Source organism: Homo sapiens, chromosome 12 (assembly GCF_000001405.40).
Source record: "Homo sapiens chromosome 12, GRCh38.p14 Primary Assembly".
In the NCBI taxonomy this organism is placed as follows: Eukaryota; Metazoa; Chordata; class Mammalia; order Primates; family Hominidae; genus Homo; species Homo sapiens.
In genome coordinates this window covers 66,423,571-66,439,911 of record NC_000012.12, presented here as the reverse complement: position 1 = coordinate 66,439,911, position 16,341 = coordinate 66,423,571, and the positions used below count along the sequence as shown (strand labels likewise).

The 16,341-nt window shown below is 39.1% G+C and overlaps 1 protein-coding gene across 22 annotated transcripts in view; it reads left to right on the top strand.

Annotated features, from left to right (window-relative positions):
- Nucleotides 1-16,341, top strand: part of GRIP1 (glutamate receptor interacting protein 1) — a 721,908-nt gene that overhangs the window by 629,427 nt on the left and 76,140 nt on the right. For all 22 annotated transcript variants that reach the window (XM_047428622.1, XM_005268757.5, NM_001379351.1 and 19 more), the window contains one exon: nt 7,284-7,364. In XM_047428622.1, coding sequence (XP_047284578.1) covers nt 7,284-7,364 — 81 coding nt within the window. The remainder of the gene's footprint in view (nt 1-7,283; nt 7,365-16,341) is intronic.

The following is a 16,341-nucleotide window of genomic DNA, read 5'->3' as shown; positions in this document are numbered from 1 at the left end:
TGTTTTTTATTTTCAGGAGACCTCAGCTGCCAAGTAAAAAGAGCAGAGAAAATGAAGGATTAGATTGAGCCAGAGATTGAGGTTTCCAGAGAAGGTTCAACAGAAGAACTAGTCAGGGAGGTTCAAAATGCTTCTGGGAGAGCAGATGAAAAATTATGATAGTAACATCATAATTATTATGGTAATATTTATCAAATGCTTGCTCTGTGGCCTGTCACTTTCTAAACGTGGTGTGTGCATCAAATTGTTTAATTCTTATAACAGCAATGGAAGAGATTACTATGATTATGTCCTCAGAAAATTGAGGCACACATAGTTGATGGTAGGCTGGAATTTTAACCCAGGCAGTCTGGCTTCAAAGGCCACACCTGCAGCACTACACTACACTACACTACTGTGTTTGAAAGAATCTGAGTGGGAGAGATGAGAATCAATAATAGATCAGCCTGATAGACTGAGAGAAAAGGGAAGACTTAAGGAACTAGAGATCTTCAGGAAGAAAAAGGGATAGTGAGAGAAAGGAATGAGGGAGCTGATGTCTAGGAGATTGAGGCCCAAGTGCTGTATTAGAGTTTAGGATTTCAGAGAAGGTCCAGCAAGACTTAGGGTGGTGATTTGTAAAAGTGGAGTGGAGGTAAAGATCCTCAACCAGGAGAGATCTGAGAATTGGGAACACAGTGTAATGGAGGGACCAGCCATGCAGTGAAATCTCACAGAAGGATGGCAGGACTTAGAATTAGGAGGGGAGTAAGAACTAGCTGAATTGCACATGCCAAGCACAATTCCACAGAAGAAGCTTTGCAGTAGATGCTTTCTGTCATGTTTGGGTGGTTTGGCTCACTTCATTCAGGTCTTTGCTCAAATGTCACATGCTCAGAGAAGCCTTCCCTGGCCATCTATCACTCTCTATTCTCTTGCTCAGATTTATGGTTCTGCTTAGCCATTCTCACACTCTGACCTTATATTGTATGTTTATTTGTTTATTTTCACTCTCCTCCAGTGGAAAAACCTATGAAATCAGGGACTTTGTGGGTTTTGTTTATGAATGTACACCTAGCACCCAATGTATTGCTTGGAATACAAGAAGCTGTCATTTGGTCAGTACTCAGTGAATGAGGCCAGGCATGGTGACTCATGCCTGTAATCCCAGCACTTTGGGAGGCCAAGGCGGGTGGATTACTTGAGGTCAGGAATTCCAGACCAGCCTGCCCAACATGGTGAAACCCTGTCTCTACTAAAAATATAAAAATTAGCCTAGCATGGTGGTGTGTGCCTGTGATCCTAGCTACCAGGGAGGCTGAGGCAGGAGAATCACTTGAACCCGGGAGGTGGAGGTTGCAGTGAGCCAAGAACATGCCACTGCACTCTGGCCTGGGCAACAGAGCAAAAAAAAAAAACTCCGTCTCAAAAAAAAAAAAAATACTCGGTGAACGAATGGGTAGAGAGCAGTTGGCTCTACTGAGGAACTGGGATCAGGAACTTCAGACTGCATCAGGAGCCGAGATCATCCCTACTGTTTCTCTGGGGTTCCTGGTCTGTCAGTGCTGCTTGTTTCTGTATATCTGCTCCATTTGTCCCTATAGACAAGTTTCCTCTGACTTTTTATTGTATGTAATTGTCCCATCTTTGCTAAAGTACCCAGCCAGTTCTAATTTCTCATTCCCAGGAGAAAGAATCTAATGGCCCAGCTTAGGTTTGGTATCCTACCCTTCTAGTCAGCTGTGACCACGGAAGAATCAAGTAGGACTTTTCAAGGATGGATCAGATGGTGGTGAAGATATGGTTTTCAAAGAAGGCTGTCCAGCAACCCCAGAATGTACAATAACTACAATAACACAACATTAATGGTTAATTATTGTTAACTACAATAACAGAACATTAGTGGTGAAATGTCTCTTGTAATCCAATACCTTTATTCATTATAAATGGGGAAACTGAGGCTCAATTGGGGAAACCCAAGGTCATACAGCAGGGTGAATCGTAGACCTAGGTCGGTTGACTTGGAGTCTCTCTTCACCATATCACACTGCACTGACTCTTCAAAGAGATGTTACCAGGATGAAGCAATTAGAGCAGGAGTTCTAAACCTCTGCCCTACTGACATTCTTTGTTGCAGGGAGGTGATTTGTTGAACATTGTGTGCACTGTAGAACATTCAGCAGCACCCACTCACTACATTCCAGTTGTCAAATTACCAGCACAATTTAGTCTTCTTCATAAGCAGTATCTAAGTATTTACTTGTGAATATATATGTGTGTATTTTAATATTTGTTGATTGGATACTCTAATATCTTAAATTTGAGCTCCTAAAAAATAGGAACTGTGTCTGTTAAACCCACTTTGTTCAGTACCCAGCTTACTTGATAAGGGACAGGAAAAGGAAATGTTAAGTTCATCTCCCACTGCCCTTGATTGTTCCAGAAAGTAACCCACTTCAAATAGATGGCAATAATACAGAATAGGGCAAGAAAAGCTATGTTCCCATCTTGTTGTTCCTTCCTCATGACAGACATCACTAGTTGACACCGATATTCTCCCGCTGAGCCCAGATACAGCATCATAGTCCTCAATAAAACACTCTAGTTAGTCATTACCAACCTACTAGTATCAACTGGAAACTACTGGATTCAGAAAAATCCTTTCTAGCCAGTCAAGAACTTGGGACATTGGTGGGGAATCACTGGATGTGAGTTGTTTCAAGACTGTTCAGTACTTCTGAATTCACTCCTAATTTTCTGGATGTAAGCCATCCGTTTCCAAAATTCTGCCTCAGAAATGTTTTACAACCAGATATTAATTCCCAAACCTTTGGACCTCAGAGACAAATTCCTCTATTTTATAAATATTTTAAGCTGACATGGAGTGGTTAAAAAAGCTTGACTCATTTTTGCCCAAATCTCTCTCCCTTTTCTCCTTTTTTTTTTTTTTTTTTTTTTGGAGACAGAGTCTTGCTCTGTTACCCAGGCTAGAGTGCAGTGGTGCTATCAACCTCCGTCTCCTGGGTTCAACCAATTCTTGTGCCTCAGCCTCCCAAGTAGCTGGGATTATAGGCATGTGCCACCAAGCCTGGCTAAGTATTTTTGTATCTTTAGTAGAGACAAGGTTTCACCATGTTGGCCAGGCTGGTCTCAAACTCCTGAGCTCAGGCAATCCGCCTGCCTCAGCCTCCCAAAGTGCTAGGGTTACAGGTGTGAGCCACTGCGCCTGGCCCCAAATCTGTCTCTTTAAATATAGGTACTATACTCCACAAACAGCATAGTAACTTTAATGAAATTGTTTTAAGTAAAAGGTGCTTATAACCCCATCATGCTAATAAATATGTTTAAATTTTTTATATTTCTTACCAAAATCCTTACCATACATATAATTTTATAAAGCTGTAACCATAATATATGCACAATTTATATTTTGCCTTGTTTGTTACTGCCTTTTAAACACCCATCTCCAACTAATATCATGAATAATACCTGAAGTTTCTACTTTAAGTCTGAAGTTATTTTGTTGGAAAAAAATATATATCTTTGTTCTGGAAAGAAGTCTCGGTGAGAATCCTATCAAATAATGTTTGCCATCATTATGGAGCCCCCAGTGCCTTTCTCTGCATTGGTGGGAGTTAAACGTTCACGTTCCTCACAAAGGGTGTCTGCATTGATGAATTACGGTGTGGTTGTTATCTTACTGTGCTAACAATGAATGCTTCAGGCAGAAAAGCAGACCACTTGGAAAGAAGGAGACCTTTGTTTACCCAAATGTGTTTTTAATTATAGCATTAACAAAGATAAAGCAAAATCAGGGAAGTACAAAATAATTACATGCGAGTCTAACAAAATAAACATCATTTGTTCTTAGATTCTATGTACTTCCTCTAAACCTGCTGTTTTTCCAAATATTGGACCTTTTCCTCTTTACTAGTGTTTCTTTAAGAAACCCCAAATTAAATATGCCTTTGCTTTAGCAGCCAAATAATTATATAAAGAAAAAATAACAAATATAAAATAAATCATGTTGGCATTTAAAGATTAAAATGAAGCCACAGCTTGATCAAAGAGATTTATTAGTTGATATTTGTTCATCATTATGAATATTTCAAATCTCATGTAGTCAGAAGTGATTCATTACTGTTTTCCAGGAAGTGATAATATCTCCTGCAGTGTCATTAACAATGTTAATCTTGGTCAAGTTTCCCTGGATTAAAAATTTATAAAAGCAAAATGTTGCTGTAGTAACTATTCTAGAACAGCATTTTCTGGCCCTTGTGTTTCAAAGACCTCACTTACACAAGCTTAGCATCATGGGCAAGATGCTATATACGTATACAGATATACAGATACATATGTACAAATATGTGTATGCTCCCCTCCCCTTTCACAGAGAACTGTTTCTTAAAACAGAAAATATTAAATGGGTAGGACAGGTGCAGTGGCTCCGCCTGTAATCACAGCCTTTTAGGAGGCTGAGGTGGACGGATCACTTGAGCCTGGGAGTTTGAGACCAGCCTAGGCAACATGGCGGAAACCCCATCTCTACAGAAAATACAAAAATTAGCTGGGCGTGATGGCAGGTGCTTGTAGTTCTAGCTACTTGGGAGACTGAGGCAAGAGGATCACCTGAGCCTGCAGAGGTCAAGGCTGCAGTGAACTGTGATTGTGCCACTGTACTCCAGCCTGGGTGACAGAGTGAGAACCAGTCTCCAAAAAAAAAAAAAAAATGGTCACACGTTTGTGAAATGAGTTCTACAAATAGTGATGCTTCATGCACATTTACTTATGGGCCATTTGTGTGCTTTATCCAAGTAATCAAATCATTTTTTTCTGCTATGCCCGTAAACACTTGTGTGGAGGCTTTCTGCATGCCCTCATCCCATTTCCTCTACCGAATCAATGTGTTCATCAGGGATCTTTCAGTTGCCAGCAAGAAACATGCACTCCACCTGGTTTAATCAGAGAAGAGGCATTCACTGGAAGCGCAATCTGTGTTTCACAGCCAGGAAGGGCTAGAACCTGACTTCAATGGCTGTCAAGGCCAGGCACAGGCTCTCTCCTCATACACACTTGCTTCTTTCTTCCTTCTCTCTGCTGACTGGCTGCTGGTGCATATGGGCAAAACCTGGCCACTTCCAAAGGCCCTCTCTGCCCCCAGTGTGCATGCTAATTCCAAATTCTTAAACTGTCACTTTGAAGGTAGAAGGAAGGTGGCAATTAGCCTTTTGTTGTTAAAGCGCAGTATGGGGAGGACTCAGGAAAGGCATAGATTGGAAAATATTTTGTAAGGAAATATTTATGACATTTGCAGCTCCTGAAGTCAGGAAGTAAAGCACACCTAAGTGGTTTTTTACCTACTTCATTTCTCTTTTTCAGATTAGCCAGTCTTTTTCAAATCTCCTGTGGGAAATAATTTGCTCTATCTCAAGTCCTACTGAGAAATTGAAAGGATACAAATTCTTAGTGAATAAATAAACAAATAAATATATGTGGATTCACTTCCTGGCCCATGAGAGTGTTAGCTGAAGACAACCCCGAAGTCAAAGGTGTTAACTCAGTCCGTGACACTCACTTGGTCGAGGGAGGAAATGGGAAAGGCAGCTGATTGCCTCACTCCCCTCTGAAGTAAATAAAAACCAGAGCGAAGGAGGGAGCCCAGAGAAGGAAGACCCCATAGCACCACTGATGCTGAGAGGGCCAGTCTGGGGATCCTTTTTTATAGGTGGCTTTCTAAAAGCTAGGCGGGCCCAGGGAAATCAAATTTCTATTGTGCTCTCCAGTTTAACACTGTATGGCAAAACTTCTGAGTTGAAAAATCAGATTCTGGTCTTGTGAGACATTTAATACCTGAATTTTTCCTCAGAAAGGATGAGAGGTCAAGAAGAGCAATTCAAGGCCAAACAAAGAAGGGAGTCCTCTCTCTCTTTCCATGAATCCAGTCCTAACCATCACCTCCACTTTGCACAGACTCAAATGTGTTAACTATGTGGTTAGTAAATTAAGCTAAGGGCCTGAGTGCCTAATGGTTCTGCTGTGGTTAATTGTCTGTGTGCTGGATAGGCACCTGCCTTGAGTCAAGCTGACCAAGCCGGCCAAGTGGATAGCTCACCCATCCCACAATCCTCTGCTTATGCTAAAGTTTCCACTGTTCCTGAAGCCTCTCCCCACTTCTTTCCAAAACCATCAGAAAGGATTATAGTCATTAGCAACTTAGCATGAATAGATGCTATCTCTTCAATGGATATTTCCATTTTAACCTTATCATTAATTAAAGGTCTTTCTGACTGTTAAGGAATTTTAAGAAGAGTATATTTAAGAATCTGTAGCAATTTCTTCCTTTCTCAGACATTAATTAGGTCTGGATAAAATCAGCTTAGCTCTGTCCTGCGTTGAGATTCAGCCAGTGTACACTGGTTCTCTCTCTGTTGCCTTGATATTAGCTTACTTCTATACTGACTGGCCAGTATCTGAGCCCACTTTCACTCCCTTCCAGTGCCCTGTGATCCTCTCTGGAATCTCTAAAAGCTCCTCATTATACAGAAACTAAAGGATCATTTAATGTAGTTGGAATCTGCTGGGTCCCTGTGTTCCAACTCTGTGGTCAGCATCTAGTTTGATTGGTTGTTTTAGTCTTTTTGATTGATAACCAGTACTGTTTTGGTTGTGAAATATTTTGAATGTCACTCCTGATTCTACCTCTTTAATTGTACTTTTCACATTACAAATTAAGGCACCTCTCCACCCACTCTCACTGCCCAATCAGCAACCATCACACCAAACTGACATCTCTCCTGAAATCTGTTTTCCCAGGTACCTTCAAACAATAAATAGGAGTGGAGGTGGGGGGAAGAATTACTGAATAGCACACTCTTGGAAAATATGGTTGGGGGTGGAAAGAATATAATAGGACCTAAGGTTCTTAAACTTTACTATGCCTGAGATTCACCTAGAGATCTCTAGGCCTCATCTTTAGAGATTCTGATTCATAGATTGGAATTATTCAGGAATCATTATTTGTAACTCCCATTCCAGGTAAATTTGATGTAGATGGTGCATGCATCACACTTGAGAAATACTGAACTCAACTGTTGGTGTGAATTATGCACAGTTGCCTGTGGATAGGAAGTGTATTCATCACCAGGAGCTTAATTTACTAGGATTTTAAAGGCCTTCATCTTACTTCAGTTCCTACAGTTTTAGCTACATATGATTATGATACAAGTATTCCTAATGCATTTTTATTGATGGGTGCTCCAGTCCTCAGTGTTCTATTAACACATTCTTTTTTGTTTTGATATTAGAGTCTGTCATCCCAAGTAGTGGAACATTTCATGTAAAGCTGCCTAAGAAGCACAATGTGGAACTTGGAATAACCATAAGTTGTAAGTAGAAGTTATTTCTTTTAAATAATTTTTAAAGGCATTAGAAAACTGTGTTGTCAAATGGTTTGCAGGTGTAACAAATGTTTTATATGTCTTTGCGAAGTTTTTATATCATGATACAAAAATGTGGAGTCAGTCACACCTCCAGCACTTACTGGCTGTATGAATGAGACAAGTTACTCAAACTCTCTCCAATCTTATATTTCTTCATCTGTAAAATGAAAATAAGGATAGCTAGAAAATATAGGATTGTTTTAATTATTGAATAAAATCCATATTTATATACCTAGTACAGTGCTTGGCAAGTGATGAGTCCTGGTGAGATAAACATGTATCTCACACAACTAGATAAATAATTAGATGAGAGATAGATGCATATAGATTCTCTACATTTTATATTGTGAATTATTAGTATATCGTATAATATATATTATTAGCATATTGTATATTAATTCACAGTGTATTGTGAATTAAGTTTTTATAATCTATTTAACAAAAATTACCTTTATTTACTTTTAAGACTATCTTCCCATCTGTCCACTAAGCATCTATAATCCTTTTCACAAGACTAAAACAATGTCTCTTACTTTAAGTAAATCCTTGAATTCCTCCATAGTGCACAGTGTCTGGAAAACTGAACCAGAAAGAAAAGTGGAGCATATAAATGTACTCAATTCCCTCCTTTCCTCGGGCTTTAGTTTTATAACTGCTTTGGTAAAAACAACTTTGAAAGTGTTAGCTCCAGTGGACTTTCATAGAATGGAAATTGAGGGTTTTGGGGGGCTTTTAATATCCATAGACTAAATGCATCCATAAATGTCCCAAGAAAATGAAGCAAATGTTAAATGCCTAAAGACCAAAGGAGACGTAGAGGTAATGACTGTGACCAAGAGCTGGTTTCTTCAAGAAAGAGTGATGAGGCCACATAAAAGTGCCTCACTGCACTCTGTTGGATAGCATTTCTGTCAGTGGTTCAGGCAAAAAATAAATAAAAGTTCTCAATTGGGCAGTATGAAATGGTGCTGTCTGATTCAACATGGACGATACAAATTTAATACTGAAAAATGAAATTTTATTTATAACCAATAACCCACACATATCTACTGCAACACTAAAAAGAACGGTACTGCAATTCAAAATAAATATTAAGAGCAAGAAGCCACATGTATGGGAGAGAGCCTAGATCCCCCCAAACCCTAATGTGACCTAGTGGGAGAAAAGTAGAAAGATGGAATGGGATTTTAGAGACTCCAGCACTATCCTAAGTGCTCCTAAAGTCATTTATTCCTTTAATTGGGTCACTTAGCCTCTCAGTTTTTTCACTATGCAGCAAAGATGGTATGTCACTATAGTGTCAACAACTAGGGCTACTAAAATTAAGAAAGCGTATCAGAATTTACTGTTCCAAACATATTTAGGGCTCAAGATGGCTTCTGCATGCAAACACTCATGCAACTTTAAGGTTATTCTCTTTTGTTTATTCCAATCCATTCATTTATTCTGTCAGAACTAGCTGTGGGAGTGGTGCGTCTTGGAGTTGTGCACTATATAACCTGCCTCTGTACACAGAAACCCTGCCCCCACTTCCATTCTTTCATTCTTCTGCCTTCCCTCAACAAATGCATTCTGAGTGTCCACCATGCTCTAAGCCCTAGGCTAAATTTTAAGAATATACACCCTGTCCTTCTAGATGCTTCCTGCTGGTTGGTATTGTGAAGTCATCTATTCCTCAGAAGCTTTATCACCACTGCCACACAGTTATTTTACTCTCAAATTTTAAGTAGGAATATTGTCTTTAATTTTGTTTTATACAATAGATGTATTCTTAGTTACAGATTGATATAAATAAAAAATATAATTTAGTCAGAAAGTATCCATCTAAAAATACCCTATGGTGTATTTCTTATTAAAAAGTAGACATTTATATGCTAATTTGTTTGAGATGTAGTCTTGTACACAAACTACAAAATATTTGTTTTATCCACATGAAGAATCATTTAATATTATGCTTTATGATGGTGTTTTGTTTTGCATGAGTGTTTTACTTCTAAAATGGGTTTTAGTAGCAATAATGGCAACAATCTAAAAACCCCCATAAAGATGGCTTGCATTTTAGCCAGCCACAAGCAAACGCATTCATGGAAGCTGAAAGTGTTATGCTATTCCCGGACAGAGAAATGATACATGAGCTTGTCAAACATGCTTGTCAGTTCTTCTAGAGCTACAGCTCCATTTGCACAACTAGTCGTCACCACCACGCTGACTTTTGTGTCTCCTCATGGGAAATACTCATATTTTGCCAGATGACAAAGCAGACTTTGCTCTTTAAAAAAAGAAAAACAAAAAGGCCAGAATCCATTTTCATTGTTATGAGTTAGTAAAATCCTGAGGCCTAGCACAGTTCCTGACATACAATGTGCTTATATAATGCCTCCATTTGCTGAGTGAATGAATAAGAAGCTTTACCTGCAAATGTTTTACTAAGCACTATGTACTCCAAGAAATGAGCTTCCAAGGGAGATGATAAATGAATATAAATGTTTGTGCAAAGGCTGATGCATAGACAGAAGAAAGACTGACTTAGAAAATGATTAAGAGCAAGGACTCAGAGCCTAGACTGTCTCATGCCCTGATTCCCTCAACCTCTCTGTGCCGTTTCTTCATCTAGAAAATGGTGTACATATTACCTTCTTCATAGTATTGTTGACAAGATTAAATGAATTACTATATGTAAAATGCCTTAAACACATTGTGAACCCTAACAAACATTAATGATGATGATCTTCGTCATTATTTACTTTACACACAGAGCCTTTTGAAATATTATATTATTTATTTATGTTTTATTTTTTGAGACAGGATCTCACTCTGTCACCCAGGCTGGAGTGCAGCGGCACTATTAGGGCTCACTGCGGCCTCAACCTCCTAGGCTCAAGCGATCCTCCCACTTTAACCTCCCAAGTGTCTGGGACTACAGGCATGAGCCACCATGCCTGGCTAATTTTTAAATTTTTGTAGAGATAAAGTCTCACTGTGTTGCCCAGGCTGGTCTTGAACTTCTAAACTCAAGCGATTTTCCTGCCTCAGCCTCTTAAAGTGTTGGGATTACAGGTGTGAGCCACCATGCCTGCTAAAATATTTTAAGCACAGCTCCAGCCCACAAAATCTAGTGCCAACATAAGAAGGAAATCTGGGAACCCTCTTCTCAGACACACACGGATACTGTTAGTGAAACCGAGGTGCTGCAAGGACTTGATTCTTCTCATTATCTCTATACCAAGTCCTCTTTCTGTCGTCTTCACCTTGTGCAAGCTCTAAGTATTAAGAAACAGCCCCTCATCTCTGGAAGCATACCAGCAGAGCCTTTACGGCTCACTCTTCATACCTAATTGACTGAGAAATGAGTCTGTCTGATTTTAGACACAGTGAGCAGTTTCAGACTAATTTTCTTAAGTTCCGATGACACATTTGCAGCATATTAGCACCAGGCATTGCTTTTATTGATGTTATTGCTGTAATATAGAGTGATTTATTGTAGCAAATAAAGTGGAACAGCCTAGCAGAAGGATGCAGTTCAGGACTGGAAGTCACATCCTGATGCCTCCACACCTTAACCAGTCAGAAATCCCAGAGCTCACACCTTCCTCACAGCCCACCTCTCTTTCGAGTCAGCGAATCCTGATTGTCTCTGTCACATCCCATTATCAGTAAAGTCCTTTTTACATGGGTGTTTTCCCTTGAGGTTTTATTACAGGGGTTTGTGTCTACTTTGTACCAGGCATGGCACTATGCAGTTTTATATGTTTTCTTACTTAATCCTGAAAGTAGCTCTGTGACATCTATCTCCATTTTACAAAGAGGAAAGAACAACTCAGCTGGGTAACCTGCCCAAAGACCAGGGGCTAATAAAAAGTGAAGCAGGGATCCAAACCCATTGTCTCTGACTTAGCACTGGCTTTATTTTCACCACACCACTCATCCCTGTCACCATCTGATTGATGAAACTCCCTATATCCTATATCAGAAAAGCAAAAGACAGTATTTTGTGAGTACAGTGAATTCACTGTCTTTCCTTTTTAGTTCTGACTGAATTGTTTGCAGGAACAAAGGCTTGCTTTATTTTCTTATAAAATCATGAAGCAGCCTTTGTGATGACAAGCACAACAAATCTGTCATTTTTCCCCTAAGTTTTAAAGTATATTTAGAAGAGATTGGTTCCTGTTATTTTGCCAACTTTGCAGTAAAAAGCTCTACTCACTGCTCCATTTCAAATCAATTAACTTGTTTTACTTACCATGTATGATGTATATGGTTGCAATTAAAGTAAAGCTGAATGATTAAGAGTTTGTATGTGTGTGTGTGATGATGAGTGGTTTTTAAATTTCTGAGGTCAAAATGTTACCAAACCAAACTTGGGTCCACTTGCCCAGCATACAGAAAATGCCAAACAGTGACACTAGGATTTTCAGCGAGAGAAAGTGAAGCATTTGTTGCAGGGTGCCAAGCAAGGAGAATTGGGCAACTAATGCTTAAGACTTGAACTCCCTGATGGCCTAGATGGTTTTTAAAGGTAGAAGGCAGAGGTTATAGGCAAAGTCATAAATCAATACATGGAGACTTTACATTGGTTTGGCCCCAAAAGGCAGGTATCTTAAAGTGGGGGCTTACAGGTCATAGGTGGATTCAGAGAATTTTTTTTGATTTGCAGTTGGTTAAAGAAGCAGGGCTTTGTCTAAAAACTTAGGATCCGCAAAAAAGGAATGTTAAGGTGTGGCCTTTAGGCGTGACTCTCTCCAGGTCTCTCAGGAAGAAATTTAGAACAAAAAATGGTAGAGTTCAGTTCTCACTTCTTCCTTATCTCCATGAGATCTCTGAGGTCTATGTAATGGTGGTCAGCATTTTCCATCTGGTGTGGGTCCAGGTTTCTGAAAAACAACATAAGAACATATGTTAATATATTATCTTTTAGTTTCTATGGGGAACCAAAATGCTTTGTGATGCTGACTTGCTTGGGAAACTATTGTTTAAGTTCTCAGTATTGTATCTTCTTGCTTATAGGGTTGTTAATTGACTTTTCAAGCCTACCTAGGTGCCTGGAATTTCCCTTGAAAATACTATTTTTTTTATACTTCTATGTTTGGGGGGTGGTGCTCAGCAGGCTCCTAAGAGGGGTCCCTGCTCTGTTTCTAAAAGACAGTAGCTTGAACACAAGCCTTTACTTCTTCTCCCACCCTACACTCCACTTTAAATGACAATATAAGATTTTTCAAAGGGCAAAAACTCATAAGGACAAAAAGAAAAGGAAAATAGACAACAGCAACCAAATTTGGCAAAGAAGATAAAGAAAGATGAATTTAAGTAAAGAAGCAGAGGGGAAGCTGATAGTGAGCCTAATTTCTATCCTGTACTCCCTTTGGAGTACAGGTTCAGGGACCAGAAACTTCGGGAAGTACATTTGATGGAAAATCCTAAGGCAGGAGGATTGGTTTAAAGACTGCTAAGAATGACCTTAGTCTTTAGATGCCTTCTCCGACTCCGAAGTACCCTTCCCCTACCCTGGCAGAAGCCTGGAGTTTTATTCTCTGGAAAGCATGCAATAGAGAGTTCTTTGGACTGAGAGCACACAGCTGAATGCAGCAGTACTGCTTTAAAAATGGAAATTAGGTGAAGGTTTGCATACTGAATGTTGAGACTGAGAGCCTTCTTCCCCCAGGAAGCTTAAAGAAGCCAGATAGCCAAGTTTAATAGCCTTCAAGTGGTAGGAAAATTCAGGACCATCTGACCCAAATAAACAGCCTGGCCTCAACTTACACTTAAGACCCACAGTCCACAAGCCCTACTTGGGTACACCAAGCTTTTGAACAGCTCTTTAGGACCACACTCTTTAATATAAACAGACAGCTAAGAGAAAAATGGACACTTGAGGAAGAATCTAATATGCGAGGCTGTCACCAGAAACAAAGGGGGAAATCAGAGAATTAGCACATTCAGGAAGAAGAAAACAAACCAAACAAAGAGAAACCTATCATTGACATCATTAGCAACAAATACATTGCATTCATGAGGTGAGCAGGGAGTGGACGCTATTACAAAATGACATTCAGAGGGGGAAAAAAGTGGGCCTTGAAAATTAAGAGAAATGAAAAAACTAAACTTCTATACAAATATTGGAAAATAAAGTTAAGGAAAATGTTCAGAAATTAGAACAACAAATAAGTGAAGAATCTAGAATAGATGAGAAAATTATACAGGTTGAGTACAAATGACACAACATCCAAGTAATAGGTGTTACAGAAAGAAAGAGGAAAGAAACACATTAAAGAAATAATTGTATAAATGTCTTAGAATTAAGGGATTTATTTCCAAAATGGTGGGTCCATACCTGTGGATGGAAATACCCACAGAAAAGCTTGTCATCAAGAGATCTGAGAACACTGGACGAAGCAGTAATCTTACAGGGTTGTGGTGCTGGAGCAGCAGGGCATGATGGGGTGTCATACAATGTGTTAGAATAATACAAACAATAATCAAATAATCAGAATAGCATCAGGCTTTTCTTTTTTTATTTTATTATTATTATACTTTAAGTTTTAGGGTACACGTGCACAATGTGCAGGTTTGTTACATATGTATACATGTGCCATGTTGGTGTGCTGCACCCATTCACTCGTCATTTAGCATTAGGTATATCTCCTAATGCTATCCCTCCCCCCTTCCCCCACCCCACAACTGTCCCCGGTGTGTGATGTTCCCCTTCCTGTGTCCATGTGTTCTCATTGTTCGGTTCCCACCTATGAGTGAGAATATGCGGTGTTTGGTTTTTTGTCCTTGCGATAGTTTGCTGAGAATGATGGTTTCCAGCTTCATCCATGTCCCTACAAAGGACATGAACTCATTATTTTTTATGGCTGCATAGTATTCCATGGTGTATATGTGCCACATTTTCTTAATCCAGTCTATCTTTGTTGGACATTTGGGTTGGTTCTAAGTCTTTGCTATCCTGAATAGTGCCCAATAAACATACGTGTGCATGTGTCTTTATAGCAGCATGATTTATAATCCTTTGGGTATATACCCAGTAATGGGATGGCTGGGTCAAATGGTATTTCTAGTTCTAGATCCCTGAGGAATTGCCACACTATCTTCTACAATGGTTGAACTACTTTACAGTCCCACCAACAGTGTAAAAGTGTTCCTATTTCTCCACATCCTCTCCAGCACCTGTTGTTTCCTGACTTTTTAATGATCGCCATTCTAACTGGTGTGAGATGGTATCTCATTGTGGTTTTGATTTGCATTTCTCAGCATCAGGCTTTTCAACAACAACTCTGGAAGCTAGAAAGCAATGGAAAAGTGCCTTCAAATTTCTAAAAGAAGGATTGCCAGCCTAGAATTCTTTACTCAGCAAAGTAGTCAATCAAATATGAAGGTAGAAAATGACATTTTCAGCTCTACAAGGTCTCAATAAACTCTTCTCCCTTGCACTCTTCCTCAGAAGCTACTGGAGAATGTGCACCACCAAGAGTGAGAGAAAGTAAAGCCAGAAACAGGGAGAGTTGGGTTCAGGATACAAGGGATCTAAGGATGCAAGAGAGAAGAGAAGAGAACCTCTGGGTTTCCCAGGGTTTGTGGGAAGGAAGTCCCCAAGATCTGTGTAGCAAACCTAGAAAGCAACCAGTCCAGACAGATTAGCAAACTCTGATAGAATTCCTGATAAGATTTGACACATTGAGAGAAGATTTATATATCCTGGGAAATATGAGGAGTTGAATTAATAATAAACACAAGAAAACAAAGCAAACAAAAACATCAAGACATCAGATAACTAAAGGAAATACATATTCTGCAGAAAAGGAAAGAAATCATGGAATGCTATATGACTTACCTCTGGATGCTGTTGACATAGTCATGCTAAAATAAATTCCAAATGTTGATCAATAAATACCAAAAATTATGACAAAATGGTATTGGGAAAATGGGGGGACAAGAAGGGTATATGAGTATGTTAGTGGTCTAGAGGTGGGAGAAACTAACTCTTCATCTTTCATAATAGAAAGTAAATAGAAAATGACTAACACCAGAAAATAATTTGGTAGTAATAGTCATATATTATTTAGCAATATGGAAACAGCCAAAAGAATTGAAAGCATCTGGGGAAGCAAGAAATTGAGGACGGCTCTTTCAGAATTCTTGACTCTTTAAATTGTATGCATGTATATTTTTGGTACAAAGAAAATACATTTTAAAAAGTAATATAGTAAGTTGTTTCCTTGTGAGTACCAAGAATGTATATCTATAGGCAGCATGAAAAATCTTAATATTGCAGTGTTATTAAAATGGATTCTTGTGATCCGGGATAAAATTTCCAATGACATCGCCTTGCTGGATTGCAGAAGAGCTGTAGACACACATGACGACGATGAATTCTGAACAAGCTTGTAAATGACTCAAATAATGCAAATCTAGTAACAACAAAAACACTTGCATTGGAGATACAAGTGACGAGTTTGAATTAAAATCATTTCATAAAATATGAATGGGAAAGAGGCAGTACTAATATATATCATATAACACAGGATTTAGCATCATTGCTCTTTTTTGTCAGGCTTTCAGTTGTGTGTTCGACCAGTTCAGCTGAAATTTCAAGGAGTTTGAAATTTCAAAGAGTTGTATTGTTTTTTCTTTCTGTTTCAGAACTTAATAAGCTTTTATTGCCCTTTTCTTCTTAACCACACTCTTGGAAGTATTCAGTATCCTTCCCCATCCCCATATGATGTGTTTGTATGGATTTCCCACTTGGAATCACTTGACAGAAGAGAGAAAACTATTTCATGCCTAATAACTTCAGGAGATTTAACCAGCCCTGTCTCTCCTTTTTATTCAACTTCCCTGGAGGTTCATAGCCAGTGCCCAGAGCAGAGGCGCTTGTCTCATAGTTGGTGTTCAAAAACTATGTACTAAATAAACGAATGGTTCT